The sequence below is a fragment of the Homo sapiens genome, chromosome 16 (genome assembly GCF_000001405.40).
Source record: "Homo sapiens chromosome 16, GRCh38.p14 Primary Assembly".
Classification (NCBI taxonomy): Eukaryota; Metazoa; Chordata; class Mammalia; order Primates; family Hominidae; genus Homo; species Homo sapiens.
Genome location: NC_000016.10, coordinates 72,677,492 through 72,695,832, shown reverse-complemented (window position 1 = coordinate 72,695,832; position 18,341 = coordinate 72,677,492). Strand labels below are relative to the sequence as shown.

The following is an 18,341-nucleotide window of genomic DNA, read 5'->3' as shown; positions in this document are numbered from 1 at the left end:
GGTCCCTGACCCCCGAGTAGCCTAACTGGGAGGCAACCCCCAGTAGGGGCAGACTGACACCTCAGACGGTCGGGTACTCCTCTGAGACAAAACTTTCAGAGGAATGATCAGGCAGCAACATTTGCTGTTCACCAATATCCACTGTTCTGCAGCCTCTGCTGCTGATACCCAGGCAAAGAGGGTCTGGAGTGGACCTCCAGCAAACTCCAACAGACCTGCAGCTGAGGGTCTTGACTGTTAGAAGGAAAACTAACAAACAGGACATCCACACCAAAACTCCAACTGTACGTCACCATCATCAAAGACCAAAGGTAGATAAAACCACAAACATGGGGAAGAAACAGAACAGAAAAACTGGAAACTCTAAAAACCAGAGCGCCTCTCCTCCTCCAAAGGAAGGCAGCTCCTCACCAGCAACGGAACAAAGCTGGACGGAGAATGACTTGGCGAGTTGAGAGAAGAAGGCTTCAGACGATCAAACTTCTCACTAAAACTCACTAAAAACTGCAAACTACGTGGAAACTGAACAAGCTGCTCCTGAGTGACTACTGGGTACATAACAAAATGAAGGCAGAAATAAAGATGTTCTTTGAAACCAATGAGAATGAAGACACACATACCAGAATCCCTGGGACACATTCAAAGCAGTATGTAGAGGGAAATTTATAGCACTAAATGCCCACAAGAGAAAGCAGGAAAGATCTAAAATTGACACCCTAACATCACAATTAAAAGAAGTAGAGAAGCAAGAGCAAACACAGTCAAAAGCTAGTAGAAGGCAAGAAATAACTAAGATCAGAGGAGAACTGAAGGAAATAGAGACACAAAAAACCCTTCAAAAAATCAATGAATCCAGGAGCTGGTTTTTTGAAAAGATCAACAAAATTGATAGGCTGCTAGCAAGACTAATAAAGAAGAAAAGAGAGAAGAATCAAATAGACACAATAAAAAATGATAAAGAGGATATCACCACTGATTCCACAGAAATACAAACTACCATCAGAGAATACTATAAACACCTCTACGCAAATAAACTAGAAAATCTAGAAGAAATGGATAAATTCCTCAACATATACACCCTCCCAAGACTAAACCAGGAAGAAGTTGAATCCCTGAATAGACCAATTACAGGCTCTGAAATTGAGGCAATAATTAATAGCTTACCAACCAAAAAAAGTCCAGGACCAGATGGATTCACAGCCGAATTCTACCAGAGTTACCAGGAAGAGCTGGTACCATTCCTTCTGAAACTATTCCAATCAATAGAAAAAGAGGGAATCCTCTCTAACTCATTTTACAAGGCCAACATCATCCTGATACCAAAGCCTGGCAGAGATACAACAAAAAAAGAGAATTTTAGACCAATATCCCTGATGAACATCGATGCCAAAATCCTCAATAAAATACTGGAAACCGAATCCAGCAGCACATCAAAAAGCTTATCCACCATGATCAAGTGGGCTTCATCCCTGGGATGCAAGGCTGGTTCAACATAAGCAAATCAATAAACATAATCCAGCATATAAACAGAACCAACGACAAAAACCACATGATTATCTCAATAGATGCAGAAGAGGCCTTTGACAAAATTCAACAATGCTTCATGCTAAAAACTCTCAATAAATTAGGTATTGATGGGATGTATCTCAAAATAATAAGAGCTATTTATGACAAACCCACAGCCAATATCATACTGAATGGGCAAAAACTGGAAGAGTTCCCTTTGAAAACTGGCACAAGACAGGGATGCCCTCTCTCACCACTCCTATTCAACATAGTATTGGAAGTTCTGGCCAGGACAATCAAGCAGGAGAAGGAAATAAAGGGTATTCAATTACAAAAAGAGGAAGTCAAATTGTCCTTGTTTGCAGATGACATGATTGTATATCTAGAAAACCCCATCATCTCAGCCCAAAATCTCCTTAAGCTGATGGGCAACTTTAGCAGTCTCAGGATACAAAATCAATGTGCAAAAGTCACAAGCATTCTTATACACCAATAACAGACAAACAGAGAGCCAAATCATGAGTGAACTCCCATTCACAATTGCTTCAAAGAGAATAAAATACCTAGGAATCCAACTTACAAGGGATGTGAAGGACCTCTTCAAGGAGAACTACAAACCACTGCTCAAGGAAATAAAAGAGGATACAAACAAATGGAAGAACATTCCATGCTCATGGGTAGGAAGAATCAATATCGTGAAAATAGCCATGCTGCCCAAGGTAATTTATAGATTCAATGCCATCCCCATCAAGCTACCAATGACTTTCTTCACAGAATTGGAAAAAAACTACTTTAAAGTTCATATGGAACCAAAACAGAGCACACATTGTCAAGTCAATCCTAAGCCAAAAGAACAAAGCTGGAGGCATCACGCTACCTGACTTCAAACCATACTACAAGGCCACAGTAATGAAAACAGCATGGTACTGGTACCAAAACAGAGATATAGACCAATGGAACAGAACAGAGCCCTCAGAAATAATACCACAAATCTACGACTATCTGATCTTTGACAAACCTGACAAAAACAACCAATGGGGAAAGGATTCCCTATTTAATAAATGGTGCTGGGAAAACTGGCTAGCCATATGTAGAAAGCTGAAACTGGATCCTTTCTTTACACCTTACACAAAAATTAATTCGAGATGGATTAAAGACTTAAATGTTGGACCTAAAACCATAAAAACCCTAGAAGAAAACCTAGGCAATACCATTCAGGACATAGGCATGGGCAAGGACTTCATGTCTAAAACACCAAAAGCAATGGCAACAGAAGCCAAAATTGACAAATGGGATCTAATTAAACTAGAGAGCTTCTGGACAGCAAAAGAGACTACCATCAGAGTGAACAGGTGACCTACAACATGGGAGAAAATTTTTGCAATCTACTCATCTGACAAAGGGCTAATATCCAGAATCTACAAAGAACTCAAACAAATTTACAAGAAAAAAAAAACAACCCCATCAGAAAGTGGGCGAAGGATATGAACAGACGCTTCTCAAGAGAAGACATTTATGCAGCCAAAAAACACATGAAAAAATGCTCATCATCACAGGCCATCAGAGAAACGCAAATCAAAACCACAAAGAGATACCATCTCACACCAGTTAGAATGGCGATCATTAAAAAGTCAGGAAACAACAGGTGCTGGAGAGGATGTGGAGAAATAGGAACACTTTTACACTGTTGGTGGGACTGTAAACTAGTTCAACCATTGTGGAAGTCAGTGTGGCGATTCCTCAGGGATCTAGAACTAGAAATACCATTTGACCCAGCCATCCCATTACTGGGTATATACCCAAAGGATTATAAATCATGCTGCTATAAAGACACATGCACACGTATGTTTATTGAGGCACTATTCACAATAGCAAAGACTTGGAACCAAGCCAAATGTCCAACAACGATAGACTGGATTAAGAAAATGTGGCACATATACAACATGGAATACTATGCAGCCATAAAAAATGATGAGTTCATGTCCTTTGCAGGGACATGGATGAAGCTGGAAACCATCATTCTCAGCAAACTATCGCAAGGACAAAAAAACAAACACTGCATGTTCTCACTCATAGGTAGGAATTGAACAATGAGAACACATGGACACAGGAAGGGGAACATCACACACTGGGGCCTGTTGTGGGGTAAGGGTAGGGGGGAGGGATAGCATTAGGAGATATACCTAATGTTAAATGATGAGTTAATGGGTGCTGCACACCAACATGGCACATGCATACATATGTAACAAACCTGCACATTGTGCACATGTACCCTAAAACTTAATGTATAAAAAAAAAAAAGAATGGACTATTGTATTCTTTCTGTGACATGCAGTACATGTGGCTGTAATCTTCAAAATCACTGTTTCATAAATTTATATCTACTTTGTTATTCACTGCCACCCTTAGGTCTTTTTGACCATTTGATGACTTTCAGATCTTGTTCCCTTTGAATACTTATTTTGTTTTATTGTTTTTCTCCTAATGCAGTAGTAGTTTCTACCTTGGAAGAAGAGAATCTAATTTTGTTATTTCCACTCCATATATCTAAGCTCTCTGAGTACCTTTACCTTGCTTTTGTTGCCCTCACTGCTGTTTCCATTACCTCCTAATTTAATAGCATCTGTGAATTTCATTAACACGCTTTTCACTCCCTTTTCTACATCATTAATGCAGCAGCTGTATAAGACAGGACATAACACTGATCCTTGCAGCACCTAGACACATTCCCCAACTTGATACATTACCATTTATGGTTTATCAATATTTTTTATGGTTCTCCAGCTAGTTTTTAATCCATATGACTCTGCTTATATCCAGGACAACTTAAATTAATTGTACACAGATGTCATGAGATACTACATCAAACGCTTCACTAAATTTAAGAAAGACTATATCTACCATATTTTTTCATTTACTGATATTATATTTAAAAACATAATTTCAGACTAGCTTAATATTTATAATTCTAGTGATATATTTACTTCTCTTTCAATATTTGTACCATTATTTTCATATGAATACAGACTACACAATAATCTTTAAACACTCCTTTTTTTACTTTTGTAATTCTGGAATAATTTTAGACTTACAGAAAAGTTACAAAAACAGCAGAGTTCCCTTATGCCCCTCCCCACAACTTCCCCTAATATTAATATCTTCCAAAACCACAGTAAATTTATCAAAATTAAGAAATTAACATTGATATAATGCTCTAAACTACAGACTTCATTTAGATGACACCTGTTCTCCCACTACCGTTCTTTTTCTGTTCCAAGATCCAATCTAGAATATCACACTGCATTTAGTGGTTATGCCTCCTTAGTCTCCCATGATCTGAGACAGTTTCTCAGTCTTCCTTTGTTTTCCATTACTATTATAGACTAAATATCTGTGATTCCCCACCTCAAAATTCAGATGTTGAAGCCAATCCCCAGTGGTATCTGGAGGTGAAAACTTCAGGAGAAGATTAGGTCATAAGGGAGGTGTCCTCATGAATGGGATTAGGGACCTTATACAAGTGACAGAGAGCTCCTTTGTCCCTTTGGCCAAGTGAGGTTATAGCAAGAAGGAAGAGGTCTACGAACTAGGAAGCGGGCTCTCAACAGACAGCAAATCTGCTGATGTCTCAACCTTAGGCTACCCAGCCTCCAAAACTGTGAGAAATAAGTTTTTGAAGTTTATAGGTCACCCAGTCTATAGTATTTCATTATAGCAGCCAAAATGGACTAAGACAATTACCTTGACACCTCAGAAGAGGTCAGGTATTTTGTAGAATGTACCTCATTATGGGTTTGCCTGATGTTTCTCCTAAGACTAAAGTTATGAAAAGACTACTACAAAGACAAAATACCGTCCTCACTGCATATGAGGGTATATGGTATTAACATGACTTATCACTGGTGATGTTAACTTTGATCAGTTGATTAAGGCAGTGTCTGCCAGGTTTCTCCAAGTTAGAATTTCTCCCTTTTCTCACTCTATTTCATGTATTCTCAGTGGGGGTTGTTAAAATGCCACGGAAGGAAAAAACTGGTTCTTGGTGGGCAAAAATAACTTACTATTTTATGCATAAAACATGGATACTCATATAGCAAAACACATATACAGAATATTTGTGGCATTAATATTTCACTGGGGCAGGGAGGATGTTAGAAAAAATTTTCTAAAGAAGCTCCTGCATGTCTGTGTTTGGGAAGGAGGAGGAGGTAATAACAGAAAAAAATACTATTTTATTCACTGGAAGCAAGTTACTAAGCACAGACCACACTCAAGGAGACGGGAATTGTGCTCTCCCTTCTGGTGGAGGGAGTAGTTACATACATTATTTGGGATTTTTCCGTAAGAACATTCTTTTTTAAAAGTCATCATTTTGGTACCTTTTCTGACACTAGTTTGGGTCTGTGTTTCTTTATTACTCTGGATTTTCCAAGAAGCAAATGCCAAGATGAGACTAGATATGCAAAAAGATTTATTAGGAGATTTACCTATAAAAGATGAAGGAGCGGGAGGAAAAGAAGAGAGCCTTCAAGACTGTGACACAGTTTTGTTACTTGTGATGGAGAAAGGGAAGGAAGGAGGATTGGGTAGGAAGGGTCTCAGACTGCAGCACATTTCTACAAAAGTTTTGGCCCAGCTGATCGGAAGTCCCTAAGCCAAAGTGTCTCATTAAAGGGTCCTGCATTTCACAAGAAAGAGCCTGCATTAGAACTCCTACCATACACAGTCACTGCCTAGAAAGACCACTTATAACCACAGTCTTGGCACAAAGTTGGGGGTGAGTTCTAAAGGGCAGCAACTGTGGCCATAAATCACTTACGCTCCCTGCAGCTGGAGATCTAAGCAGTATATATTTTCATGCCCATAGTCCCTAATTTTACAGTCTTATGGAGACACTAGAAATTATTTTTTTAAGATTGTCTAACTCTTTTTCCCATTCTAGGTAGTATCTTTACTTTTCCAAATATGGCTGGGTAAAATTTTAAAAACCAGTAATTTCTTAGAAACCACCCCTTTATTTTTCCATTTAAAAATACTGCTTTAGTAACTGCTGGCTTTCATAAATAGTGGCATATCTTAAATGAGATAACCCCTCTGATAATAACAATTATAAACCCTTCCTAAAATATAAGAAGACAACTATTTGAAGGCACTGTGGAGCAATCAAAAGCAGACAGAAACTGAAGGTGATATGACCCTTGAAAGAAGGAAAGCCAGGTTGGGCATGGTGGCTCCTGCCTGTAATCCCAGTACTTTGGGAGGCCAAGGTGGGAGGATCGCTTGAGCTCAGGAATTTGAGACCAGCCTGGCCAACATGGTGAAACCCCTTCTCTACTAAAAATACAAAAATTAACTGGGCGTGATGGAGCATGCCTGTAATCCTAGCTATCTGGATGACTGAGGCAGGAGAATCGCTTGAACCCGGGAGGTGGAGGCTGAAGTGAGCTGAGTTGTGCCACTGCACTCCAGTCTAGGCGATAGAATGAGACCCTGTCTCAAAAAAAAAAAAAAAAAAGAACGGAAGCAGTAGATGATACCTACATTTATCTTGACTTTTAAAATGAGGTTATTCCCCAGTTTGCATGGTACACAGGGAATAAAGCTTACACAGAAGGCAGCAGCTTCTCGTCTGAGGAGTCAGAAGTTAGAGTCTGAGGCTGCTGATGCAGCTGGAGTAAGAGCGAGGAAATCTTCAGTAAGGGGAAGTCATGGGGTGAGGGGGAACAGGGGTTGCTTCAAAATCTGACTCCTGAACTGTGTACATGTAGGGCAAGACCCAAGAAACCTAGAGGAAAACAACAGCGAAAAAAAAAGGAATAGCTAAGCAGAAATTTTCGCAGCTTCCAAATGATGAATCAGTTTAGAGGGTGAATCCCTTTAAGTTGAAAGGATATATATAACACTAGACTTTCTAGAAACCCCAGAAGAAGCATACTGTAAGAGTATGGTTTATGCCTCAGAATAAGGGAAAAACTGAAGTAGATAAATTTGAACAAAGCCTAAAACCAAGCCTCCACAAAATCAAGAAAATCTATCAGTAAATTAACTACCTGCTGGAACAAAATTAAAAACTCTCTTCTAAGATAACAAAATCAAGAATGTCATAAACTTATTACTTACAATAGTAATACATAGTCAAAAAATTATAAGATAAGAGAAAAAGCAAGAAAGTATGACCCATAGTCAAAGGAAAACAGTCAATAGAAACAGAATCACTGACAATCGCGATGTGAGGATTAATAGGTAAGTACTTTAATGTAGCTATAATTCATATATATGATAAATGATGTACAAGAAAAGGAGGATATAATGAGCGAAAATATAAGGAATTTCAGTAGCAATTAAAAACTGAAAATAAAAATCAAATGGAAATCCTGGAACTGGAAAAGACAGTATCTGAAATGATTAAAGAAAAGAAAACCACTATAAAGTTAACAGCAGACTGGACAATGTAAAAGAAAGGCTCAGTGCACCTGAAGACAACCTTTAGAATAGAAATTATCTAAACAAAAGCACATAGAGAAAAAAGATTAGAAAAAATTAACAGATCCTCAATGACAGGTGTATTCAAGATTAGGCTAACATATTTATAAATTGGAGTCCCAGAGAGAAAGGAGAAAGAGAATGGGGTAAAGGTTTTGATAAAATATTGGTCAAAATTTCCAGAGCTGGTTTAAAACATAAACCTGTACATCCAAGATGGACAGCAAATCCCAAGCAGGATAAATGGAAATAAAATCACAACTAGGCACATCACAGTTAAATGGATGACAACCAAAGATAAAAAAGAAATCTTGGCCAGACGCGGTGGCTTACACCTGTAATCCTGGCACGTTGGGAGGCCAAGGCGGGCGGATCACGATGTCAGGAGATCGAGACTATCCTGGCAAACACTGTGAAACTTCGTCTCTACTAAAAATACAGAAAATTGGCCGGGTGTGGTTGCAGGTGCCTATAGTCCCAGCTACTTGGGAGGCTGAGACAGGAGAATGGCATGAACCCGGGAGGCGGAGCTTGCAGCGAGCCGAGATCGCGCCACTGCACTCCAGCCTGGGTGACACGGCGAGACTCCATCTCAAAAAAAAAAAAAAAAAAGAAAGAAATCTTAAAAGTAGCCATAGAACCAAAAATTATACAGAGGAACAACAATAAGAATGATGACTCGCTTCTCATTAGAAACAACAAAGAACAGAAGATAATGCAACAATATCTTTATTTTAAAGTCACCCTAATATTCTATAGTCAATGAAAATATCCTTCAAAAATGGTGAAATAGACATGTTCAGATAAATGAAAGCTGAGATAATGTGATACTAACAGACTCGCACTACAAAACTTGCTAAAGAAAGTTTTTTATCTGGAAGGGAATACTGTATGAAAATTCATATCTATGGGAAGGAATACAAAGAATTAAATAGTAAATATATGGTAAATAGACATTATTTCTTTCTTTTCTTACATTCTTTAAAAGTCAGTTGACTTTTCAAAAAATGATGCTGGGAAAACTGGGTAGCCACATGCAAAAGAATGAAGTTGGACCCTTACCTTACACCATATACAAAAATTAACTCAAAATGGATTAAAGGCCTAATTATAAGTGCTAAAGTTATAAATCACTTAGAAGAAAAGATAGAGGAAAAACTTCATAACATTGTATTTGGCAATAATTTCTTGGAAACAATACCAAACGCACAGGTAACAAAAGTAAAAGCAAATACATTGGACTGTATCAAAATTAAAAACGTCTCTGCATGAAAGGACACAATAGAGTGAAAAGGCAACATAGAGAATTGAAGAAAATATCTGCAAATAATCTAATAAAGCATTAATATGCAGAATAAAGAGCTCCAACAACTCAACGACAACAAAACAACCAACAGCCTAATTTTAAAATGAGCAAATTACGTGAATAGACATTTCTCCAAAGAAGATATGCAAATGGCCTAGAAGCATATGAAAAGATATTCAAAATCACTAACTGGGGAAATGCAAATCAAAACCGCAACACCCATTAGAATAGCTACTATGACAAAAAATAGAAAATAAATAAGAGCCTTAAAAAGAAAAAAATTGTGACACATGTTGTAACATGGATGAACCTTGAAGACATCAGGCTAAGTGAAATAAGCCAGTCACAAAAAAGGCAAATACTTTATGATTATATTTATACTAGGTACCTAGGGTACTGAAATCACAGAGATCAAGTTAGAATGGTGACTGCCAAGTGTTGGAGGAAAGGGAATAGGGAGCTGCTGTTTAATGGGTATAGTTTCAGTTTTGCAGGACGAAGAGCTCTAGAGATTGGTAGCACAACAAGGTAAATGTATTTAACACTATTGAATGGTATGACTAAAAATGATTAAGATGGTTAATTTTATATTATGTGTATTCTACCATAATTAAAAAAAAATTGATGATTTTTTTCTTTTTTGAGACAGTGTCTCACTTTGTCGCCCAAGCTGGAGTGCAGTGGTGCAATCTGAACTCACTTCAACCTCCTCCTCTCACATTCAAGTGATTCTCCTGCCTCAGCCTCCCGAGTAGCTGGGACTACAGGTGTGCACCACCACACCAGGCTAATTTTTCTATTTTTAGTAGAGATGGGGTTTTACCACGTTGGCCAGGCTGGTCTCGAACTCCTGCCCTCAGGTGATCCACCTGCCTCAGCCTCCCAAAGTGCTGGGATTACAGGCGTGAGCCACCACGCCTGGCCAAATTAATGACTTTAAGCAAAAATAATAATATACTGTGGAGTTTATAACATACATAGATGTAAAATATATCACAAAAGTATAAAACATGAAAGAGAGGTAAACAGAATTATACCATTGTAAGGTTCTTGCATTGCAAGTAAGGCAGCATATCATTAATTCAAGGTATAATGTGGTAACATAAGTACATATATTGTAATCTCTAAAGCAATCAATAAAAAACAAACCCTGTGGCCAAAAAAAAAAAAGAAATCAAAAAATACTTTATTAACCTAAAAGAAAACAGGAAAGATGAAACAAAGGCACATAAAACAGATGGGACATACAGAAAATAAATACCAAGATGGTGGACTTAAATTCAAACAAATTAGCAATTAAATGCAAATTGTCTGAACACATCAATTAAAAAATGCTGCATTTTATTTTTATAGACAAGGTCTTGCTCTTATATCCAGGCTGGAGTGCAGTAGTGTGATCATAGCTCACTGCAGCCTCAACCTTGTGGGCTCCAGCAATCTTCCCGCCTCAGCCTCCAGAGTAGCTGGGACTACAGGTGCACACTCTCACACCCAGCTAATTTTTTTGTATTATTATGTTTTTGTAAAGTTGGGTGTCTCACTTTGCTGTTCAGGCTGGTCTTGAACTCCTAAGCCCAAGCAATTCTCCCACCTTGGCCTCTCAAAGTGCTGGGATTACAGGGATGAGCCATGCTTTGCCTGGCCCAAATTGCTGCTTTTAGAAAATACACTGACAAATATTAACAGTCCCATTTGAAAACCCCTTCTAAAAACAGGGTTTTAATGTAAAAATTTGAATTATAGAAATGATGCCCTCTATTCTTCAGATAGTTCTGATCTTCCCATATATCACAGTTATATACAAAAGAAATGTGCGTTAATATATATTCTATTATTGTTATCTGCATTATGGATGTTTAAAATGCTTCCAATGAGACCTACTATCAATAGCACTGCTCCGAGGTAAAAAGATAATAGTACAAAACCAAGAAAATGTCTATTAAGTGGGTTGTTTTTGGGAGAACTTTTGTCACCAATGAAGCTTTGTTTTTTGTTTTGTTTTGGTTTTGTTTGAGACATGGTATCACTCTGTCACCCAGGCTGGAGTGCAATGGCACCATCACAGCTCACCACAGCCCCAACCTCCCAGGCTCAAGCGAGCCTCCACCTCAGCCCCTTTTGCCCCACCATGCCACAAAACCTGGGACTGCAGGTGCATGCTACCCTGCCTGCCTAATTTTTGAACTTTTTGTAGAGATGGGCTTTCGCCATGTTGCTAGTCTCTAACTCCTGGGCTCAAGTGATTCGCCCACCTCGGCCTCCCCAAGTGCTAGGATTACAGGCATCAGCCACTGCGCCCGGCCAACCTTAACCTTTTTGTCTAAATTGTGTCTCACTCTTTTCTCCAACTGTTTCTATAGTCTGTCTATTTTTAGTTCTATGGATTTTATAGAGACAGAGTATAAAAAGACAGATTATCTAAACTTCTTATGAAAACTGTTTATATATCAAGCCAGCCTGTAGAACCAAGTTCACATTAGCAAAAAGATTTTTTAAATGGGTATATGAAAGAAGGAAACAGGGAAACTAAAGCATTTCCCATATATATTACTATATAATCACTCCCTCCTTTTTTATAAACTCCTATATATCATTAAAATAATGTTTGGTGGACCCTTCCTTGTATTCCTTCACAAATATTTTGTCATATTATAATTGGTTGTCATCTTGGTGCTGCTAAAATCATAGACTAGCTAATCCAGATAGAAAGTAAGTGGAAAATAACTTTTTACCTGATTTTTTTAAGCCTAGAAAGCAAAGTTTTATAAGTTAGGTATAGTAATGCTTCTGTCCCAAGATAAAATTCACCTTAAGAAAGTAGCTAGTTTGCATGTCATTTACGTTTTTGATCTGTCTCAAGTAATCCTGATAATCCTAGACATTTTCTTTTTTTTTTGAGACAGGGCCTCACACTGTTGCCCAGGCTGGAATGCAGTGGCACCATCATGACTCTCTGCAGCCTTAACCTCCTGGGCTCAGGCAATCCTCCTGTTCCAGCCTCCAGAGTAGCTGGGATAACAGGCATGTGCCACCACTCCAGGCTAATTTTTATATTTATTTTTGTAGATACAGGGTCTTGTTATGTTGCCCAGGCTGGTCTCAAACTCTTGCAAGGCTCAATGGATCCTGTAGGTTCTGTCTCCCAAAGTGTTGGGATTACAGGTGTAAACCACTGCACCTGGCCTAGTATTTGCCATTTTTAGCTGTGACCCTTCAATAACTTTGTCAGTAGCAGCAACACTACAGAATGAAACAGGTTTTTTAAAAGACTGACAAAAAATGAAATTGGAATTAGTTTGTCTAATAAACGATGGCAATGATGTATCTGATGGATAGCAATGGGAAGTAACCAAGCAGTTTCAGGAGATACTTGACTGTCCTTTACAGTCAAATACTCCTTCAAAAAGGAATGGTGAATATTCTTTTATGCATAATAATAGCTATGGTAGACACCCATTCCCCCCTTATTAATAGAACACCAATGTTATTTAGGCATCCACCCTTTAAAAAAATGATACAACAAAAAACCTGGAGATAAACTGATTTGTGTAAACCCATCCCCTAGGTAATTCATAACCCCACTCTCTTCACCAGTAATCATTCAGGAGGTGGGGATGTGACTCAGTCAATCCGTTAGGAAGGGAAGTATGCTAGAAGGCTTCTGGGAAAGATTTCCTTGTTCTTAACAAGAAACTCAGGTTAAGAGATAGATGCTTTTCTTTGTTTTTCTGGATGCTGTTTTGACTGGATTTGAAGACTGCAACTGCAGCAGTCACCTTGTGACCATAAGGTTACCTAGTCTGAAGACAACGACTACCTCTTTGAGGATAGCAGAGTGGAACAATAGAGATCTGAATTCTGATGAAGTCACTGAACATCTGAAATAACCAATTTGGGAGCTGTCCAACTTTGAAACTTATTAGAGAAACGTTTTCCAAATATTTAAGTAATTTTGAGTTAAATTAATCATGGCTGAAGTTACCCATATTTTTTACTTACTAGGTATCTGGCATTGTGCTAAGTGTTCTACCTGTGCCATTTAATACAATAAACATGTAAGATTGTTATTATAATGCCCATTTAACACATGAGGAAACTTTGTTTTATACAGTTTAACTACATCACCCACAGACACATAGCTAGTAAATGGCACAACTGAGAATCCAACACTTTAATTTTAAAGTTAGGGTCTTAGCTACAGTAGTTCTTGAGGTACTGGCTCAATGTTATTTTATCATTAATTCCACAAAAAATTACTGACAACAGATTATGGGCTATGTACTGTGTCAATTTCCTGAAATTTTTTTTTTTTTTTTTTTTTTTTTTTAGAAAAAGCAGTATCTTAACTTAGACTGTACATGAGAATAAATATTAAAGGCAACCCAACAAATAGGCTTGGTAATAGTGTTTTCTATTTGGTAAGGAATACCTTCACTAGGTAAGTAATCTGCATTACCTATTTCAGTAGCCTCAGGTTTAGAGTATCTTGGAAAGCAACGTAGATTGCAAAGATCTGTGTTATGGATTAGAGAGGTATAAATCACTCTTATCAGGTCTGCATCTTCTGGGATACACAGGAAGGTTACCTTTGACTGATGAGAATTCTCAGGTGTGTAGCAGCAATCTCATGTTCAAAGTAACATTAATTCCAATTGCAATTATGATGTGCTTAAGAGCTTACTTAGAAATCACCAATTGCTAAAAATAAACAAATGTTTACTGAGTATTTGACTAAGTACATAGTGCTTCATGTAGGAGATACAAAACAAATATGAGCTATGAAATATTAGTATGTATAGGAGTGTATATACTGGTTTGGGAGATGAAATTAACGCCCACAAAATAAGAGCAAAATGCAAGGAAGTATATAATTAAACAATTATATAATGAAAATAAGGACTTCAGAAAAAAGATTATAATCAGTTGTCAAGTGAATATCTACATACCAACTTACAATTTTCAAAAAGCTCTTACACTATGTCATTTGATGTCCGCCAAACTGTATGAACATAGAAAAAGCCAATTAATATTCAATCAATAATGACAACTGCCATTAATGATAACCTGAAGTGTATCAGACACTGTGAAACACTTTACATTCACTCATTCTCATTTTATCCTTACAAGATTTCCATGTGGTAGGTACTACTGTCCCCATTTCCAGATGCTGACATTGAGTTAAAATTAATTGCTTGAGAACATACAACTAATTCACACAACTAATTTACACAGTTGGTTCTTAACACTAGCATCAAAGTTGATAACTGTATCAAAGTTGAGAGTTCTACTGAATTTTGCCAGTACTATGAAATAACGAATCTCCAAAACCTGTAAATATCTCATCTCTAAAGAAATCTTGTCCTTATTTTGTCTGAAATAAATTTTAGCAAATCTAAACGTCACTGAAACATCACATAGCTCACTGTGAAGAAATTTTTTAAATGTAGGTTACTATGAAAGAGCCACTGACAGATCATCATATGAAATCTGCATTTTCCACCTTTGAGGTAGTTAGATTGGTACTAAATACAAGAGGAACTTGAGCCTCTCTTGTAGATAGTTGTTGATGAGAAGGTAACATCGCACAAATTTAGGGATTTCTTTCCTCCTGCAGCACAGCCTATCTTATCCTGACTAATGAAAAGGTAATATTTTGTTTTTAGAGTTACTTCAATACATAATGTCAAATAGGTAATTTGAATTACCCTGTTTGCACAGCACAACAGTTATGTACTTTGTTTCTATTGGGCCTCCGGGTTTACTATCACCAAGATATTCAACATTCTGGACTCTCAGTGTCAGAACCCCAGCTCAACCAACTCTAATCAACCCCAAAAAGCTAGGCCTGTTAACAAATTCTTCTGAGAACGACTGGTTATTTGAAAAGCACTCATTAAATTATAAAATTAACAGCAGAATACTAGAATATTCCTGATGCCTGGCCAGTATGTTTTATTCTTTTGAGACAGAGTCTCGCACTGTCACCTGGGCTGGAGTGCAGTGGCGCGATCTCAGCTCACTGCAACCTCTGCCTCCCAGGTTCAAGCGATTTTCCTGCCTCAGCCTCCCAAGTAGCTGGGATTACAGGAGCCACCACCATGCCCAGCTAATTTCTTGTATTTTTAGTAGACACAGGGTTTCACCACATTGGCCAGGATGGTCTCAAACTCCTGACCTTGTGATTTGCCAGTCTTGGCCTCCAAAAATGCTGGAATTACAGGCATGAGCCACCGAAAAATCTATTTGGAAAACCCAAATAAGATTGAAAGATAAAGAATTTGAATCAAAAAAACCTAAGGGTTTTCTCATTAACTGTTAGGTTAGAGTAGTGATTCTCAAAAGTAGTAACTACACTGAATTCTTATTCATATACATACATAATATAGTTTGATTGTGGAAAAAAGTTTATAACATAAAATGTACCACTATAACTGTCTTTAAGTGTATGATTTGGTGGCATTAAGTACATTCACAATGTTGTGCAATCATCACCACTATCTATTTCCAGAACATTATTATCCAAAACAGAAACTCTGTACCTGTAAAGTAGTAACTCTCCATTCCCCCTCCTCACCCTGCAGCCCCTGGTAATCTACTTTGTCTTTATGAGTCATACAAATTTTGAATCATACAATATTTGTCCTTTAGTTTATGGCATTTCAACTAGCATATTTTCAAAGTCCATTCATGTTATAGCACATATCAAAAACTTTATTCTGTGGCTGAATATTCCATTCTGTGGGTATACCATGTTTTGTTTATCCATTCATGTGTTGATGGACAATTGGGTTGTTTCCACATTTTGGTTATTGTGAACAGTGCTGTTGTGAACACTGGTGTACAACTATCTCTTTGGGTATATACCTAAGAGCGCAACTGGTATGTTTAACATTTTGAGTAATTACCAAGCTGTTTTCACAGAATCTGTATCATTTTACCATCCTACCAGCAATGCACGAGGGTTCTAATTTCTCTGTATTCTTGCTAGTATTTGTGATTTTCCCTCTTTTAAAGTAATAGCTACCCTAATGGGTTTGAAGAAGTATCTTATTGCTTTTAATTTGCATTTCTCTCATTACTAACAGAGTTTAGCATCTTTTCCTATGCTTATTGGCTATTTGCATATCTTCTTTGGAGAAATGTGTATTCAAGTCCTTTGCCCATTTGAAAGTTGGGTTTGTCTTTCTGTTGTTGACTTGCAGCAATTCTTTACATATTTTAGATGGTACACCTCATCAGATACATGGTTTGCAAATATTTTCTATTCTGTGGGTTGTTTTTTCACTCTTGATAGTATTCTTCGATGCACAAAAGTTTTTACTTATGATGAAGTCCAATTTATCTATTTTTTCCTTTTGTTGTGAGTGCTTTGGGTGTCATATTTAAGAAATCATTGCCAAATCCAAGGTTATGATAATCTGTCCCTATGTTTTCTTCTAAAAGGTTTACGGTTTTAGCTCTAAAATGTAGTCCTTTAATCCATTTTAAATTTTGGATACAGTGTAAGAGTCCAGACTTATGCTTTTGCACGTGATATCCAGTTTTGCTAATACTATTTGTTGAAAAGACCCTATTTTCCCCATTGAATGTCTTGGCACTTTGAAAAAAATCATTTAACCATATATGTGAGGGTTTATTTACGTGCTCTCGCTTCTGCTTCATTGGTCTATATGTCTATCCTTATGCTAGTATCAAATTCTTTGGTTACTGTAGCTTGTCCCTCAACTTTTTCAAGATTATTTTGATTATTCAGGATCTCATGAAATTCCATATTAATTTCAGGACGAGTTTTTCTACTTCTATAAAAAAAAACACCATTGGGATTTTTTATAGAGATTAAACTGAATCTATAGATTGCTTTGGGTAGTACTGCTAACTTAACAATATTAAGTTTTCCAATCCATGAACATGAGATGCCTATTTGTCTAATTTCTTTCAGCAATATTTGCAGTTTTTAGATTACAATCTTGTGCCTCCATGATTAAATTTATTCCTAAATATTTTATGTTAATGTTTTGGGTGCTATTGTAAATGGAATTGTTTTCTTAATTTGTCAGGTTGTTAATTGCTAGTGCATAGAGGTACAGTTATGCATCACATAATGACATTTTTGCCAACAATGGACCACATATATGATGTTGGTCCCACAAGATTATAACGGAGCTAAAAATTCCTATTGCTAACTTAATGTCATAGTGCAATGTATTACTCATGTCTGTGGTGATGGTGGTATTAAAACATCTGCACAGCCAATCATACAGAAGTGAAGAGTAATGTGCAAGGCCTTCACATTCACTCCACTCACTGACTCACCCAGAGCAATTTCCAATCCTGCAAGCTCCTTTCATGTTAAGTGTCCTATACAGGTGTACCATCATCTTTTGTGCCTTTTTATTGTACTTTCTCTGTTTTAGATACACAAATACCATTGTATTACAATTGCCTGCAGTATTCAGTACTGTAACATTCTGTACAAGTTTGTAGCCTAGGAGGAATAGGCTGTACCACTTAGGTTTGTGTAAATATACTCTATGATGTTTACACAAAGACAAAATTGCCTAACAATGCATTTCTGAGAAGGTATCCCTGACACTAAGTGACTCGTGACTGTATAACTGACTTCTGAGTATGAACTTTGTATCCTACAACTTTGCTGAATTAGTTTATTACATCTAACAAAGTGTTTGTGTGTGTGTGTGTGTGTGTGTGTGTGTGTGGATTCTTTTGGGTTACATATGATTACATCATCAGTGAATAAAGATAGTTTTACTTCTTTCTTTGTCTTACCTAATTGCTCAGGACAGAACTTCCACTACTATGTTGAATACAAGTGGTAAGTGTGGGTATCCTTGTCTTGTTCCTGATTTCAGGGGAAAAGCTGCCAATCTTTCACCACTGAGTATAATGCCAGCTATAAGCTTCCACAGATGGCCTTTATCATGCTAAGAACTTTTTTTTTTTTTTTTTTGAGACAGGGTCTCATTTGTCACCCAGGCTGAAGTGCAATGGTACAATCTCGGCTACAGGCATGCACCATCAGGGTTGG

At 37.4% G+C, this 18,341-nt stretch overlaps 1 long non-coding RNA gene across 4 annotated transcripts in view, besides 1 other annotated feature; it reads right to left on the bottom strand.

Moving 5' to 3' along the window:
• Positions 1-18,341, bottom strand: part of ZFHX3-AS1 (ZFHX3 antisense RNA 1) — a 156,522-nt gene that overhangs the window by 125,822 nt on the left and 12,359 nt on the right. The gene's annotated exons all lie outside the window — the stretch shown is intronic.
• Positions 17,829-18,123: an enhancer, noted in NCBI's record as "tiled region #2952; K562 Activating non-DNase unmatched - State 24:Quies". NCBI's record gives its function as "activates a minimal TATA promoter and a strong SV40 promoter by Sharpr-MPRA in K562 cells {active_cell/tissue: K562}" and the evidence as "EXISTENCE:reporter gene assay evidence [ECO:0000049][PMID:27701403]".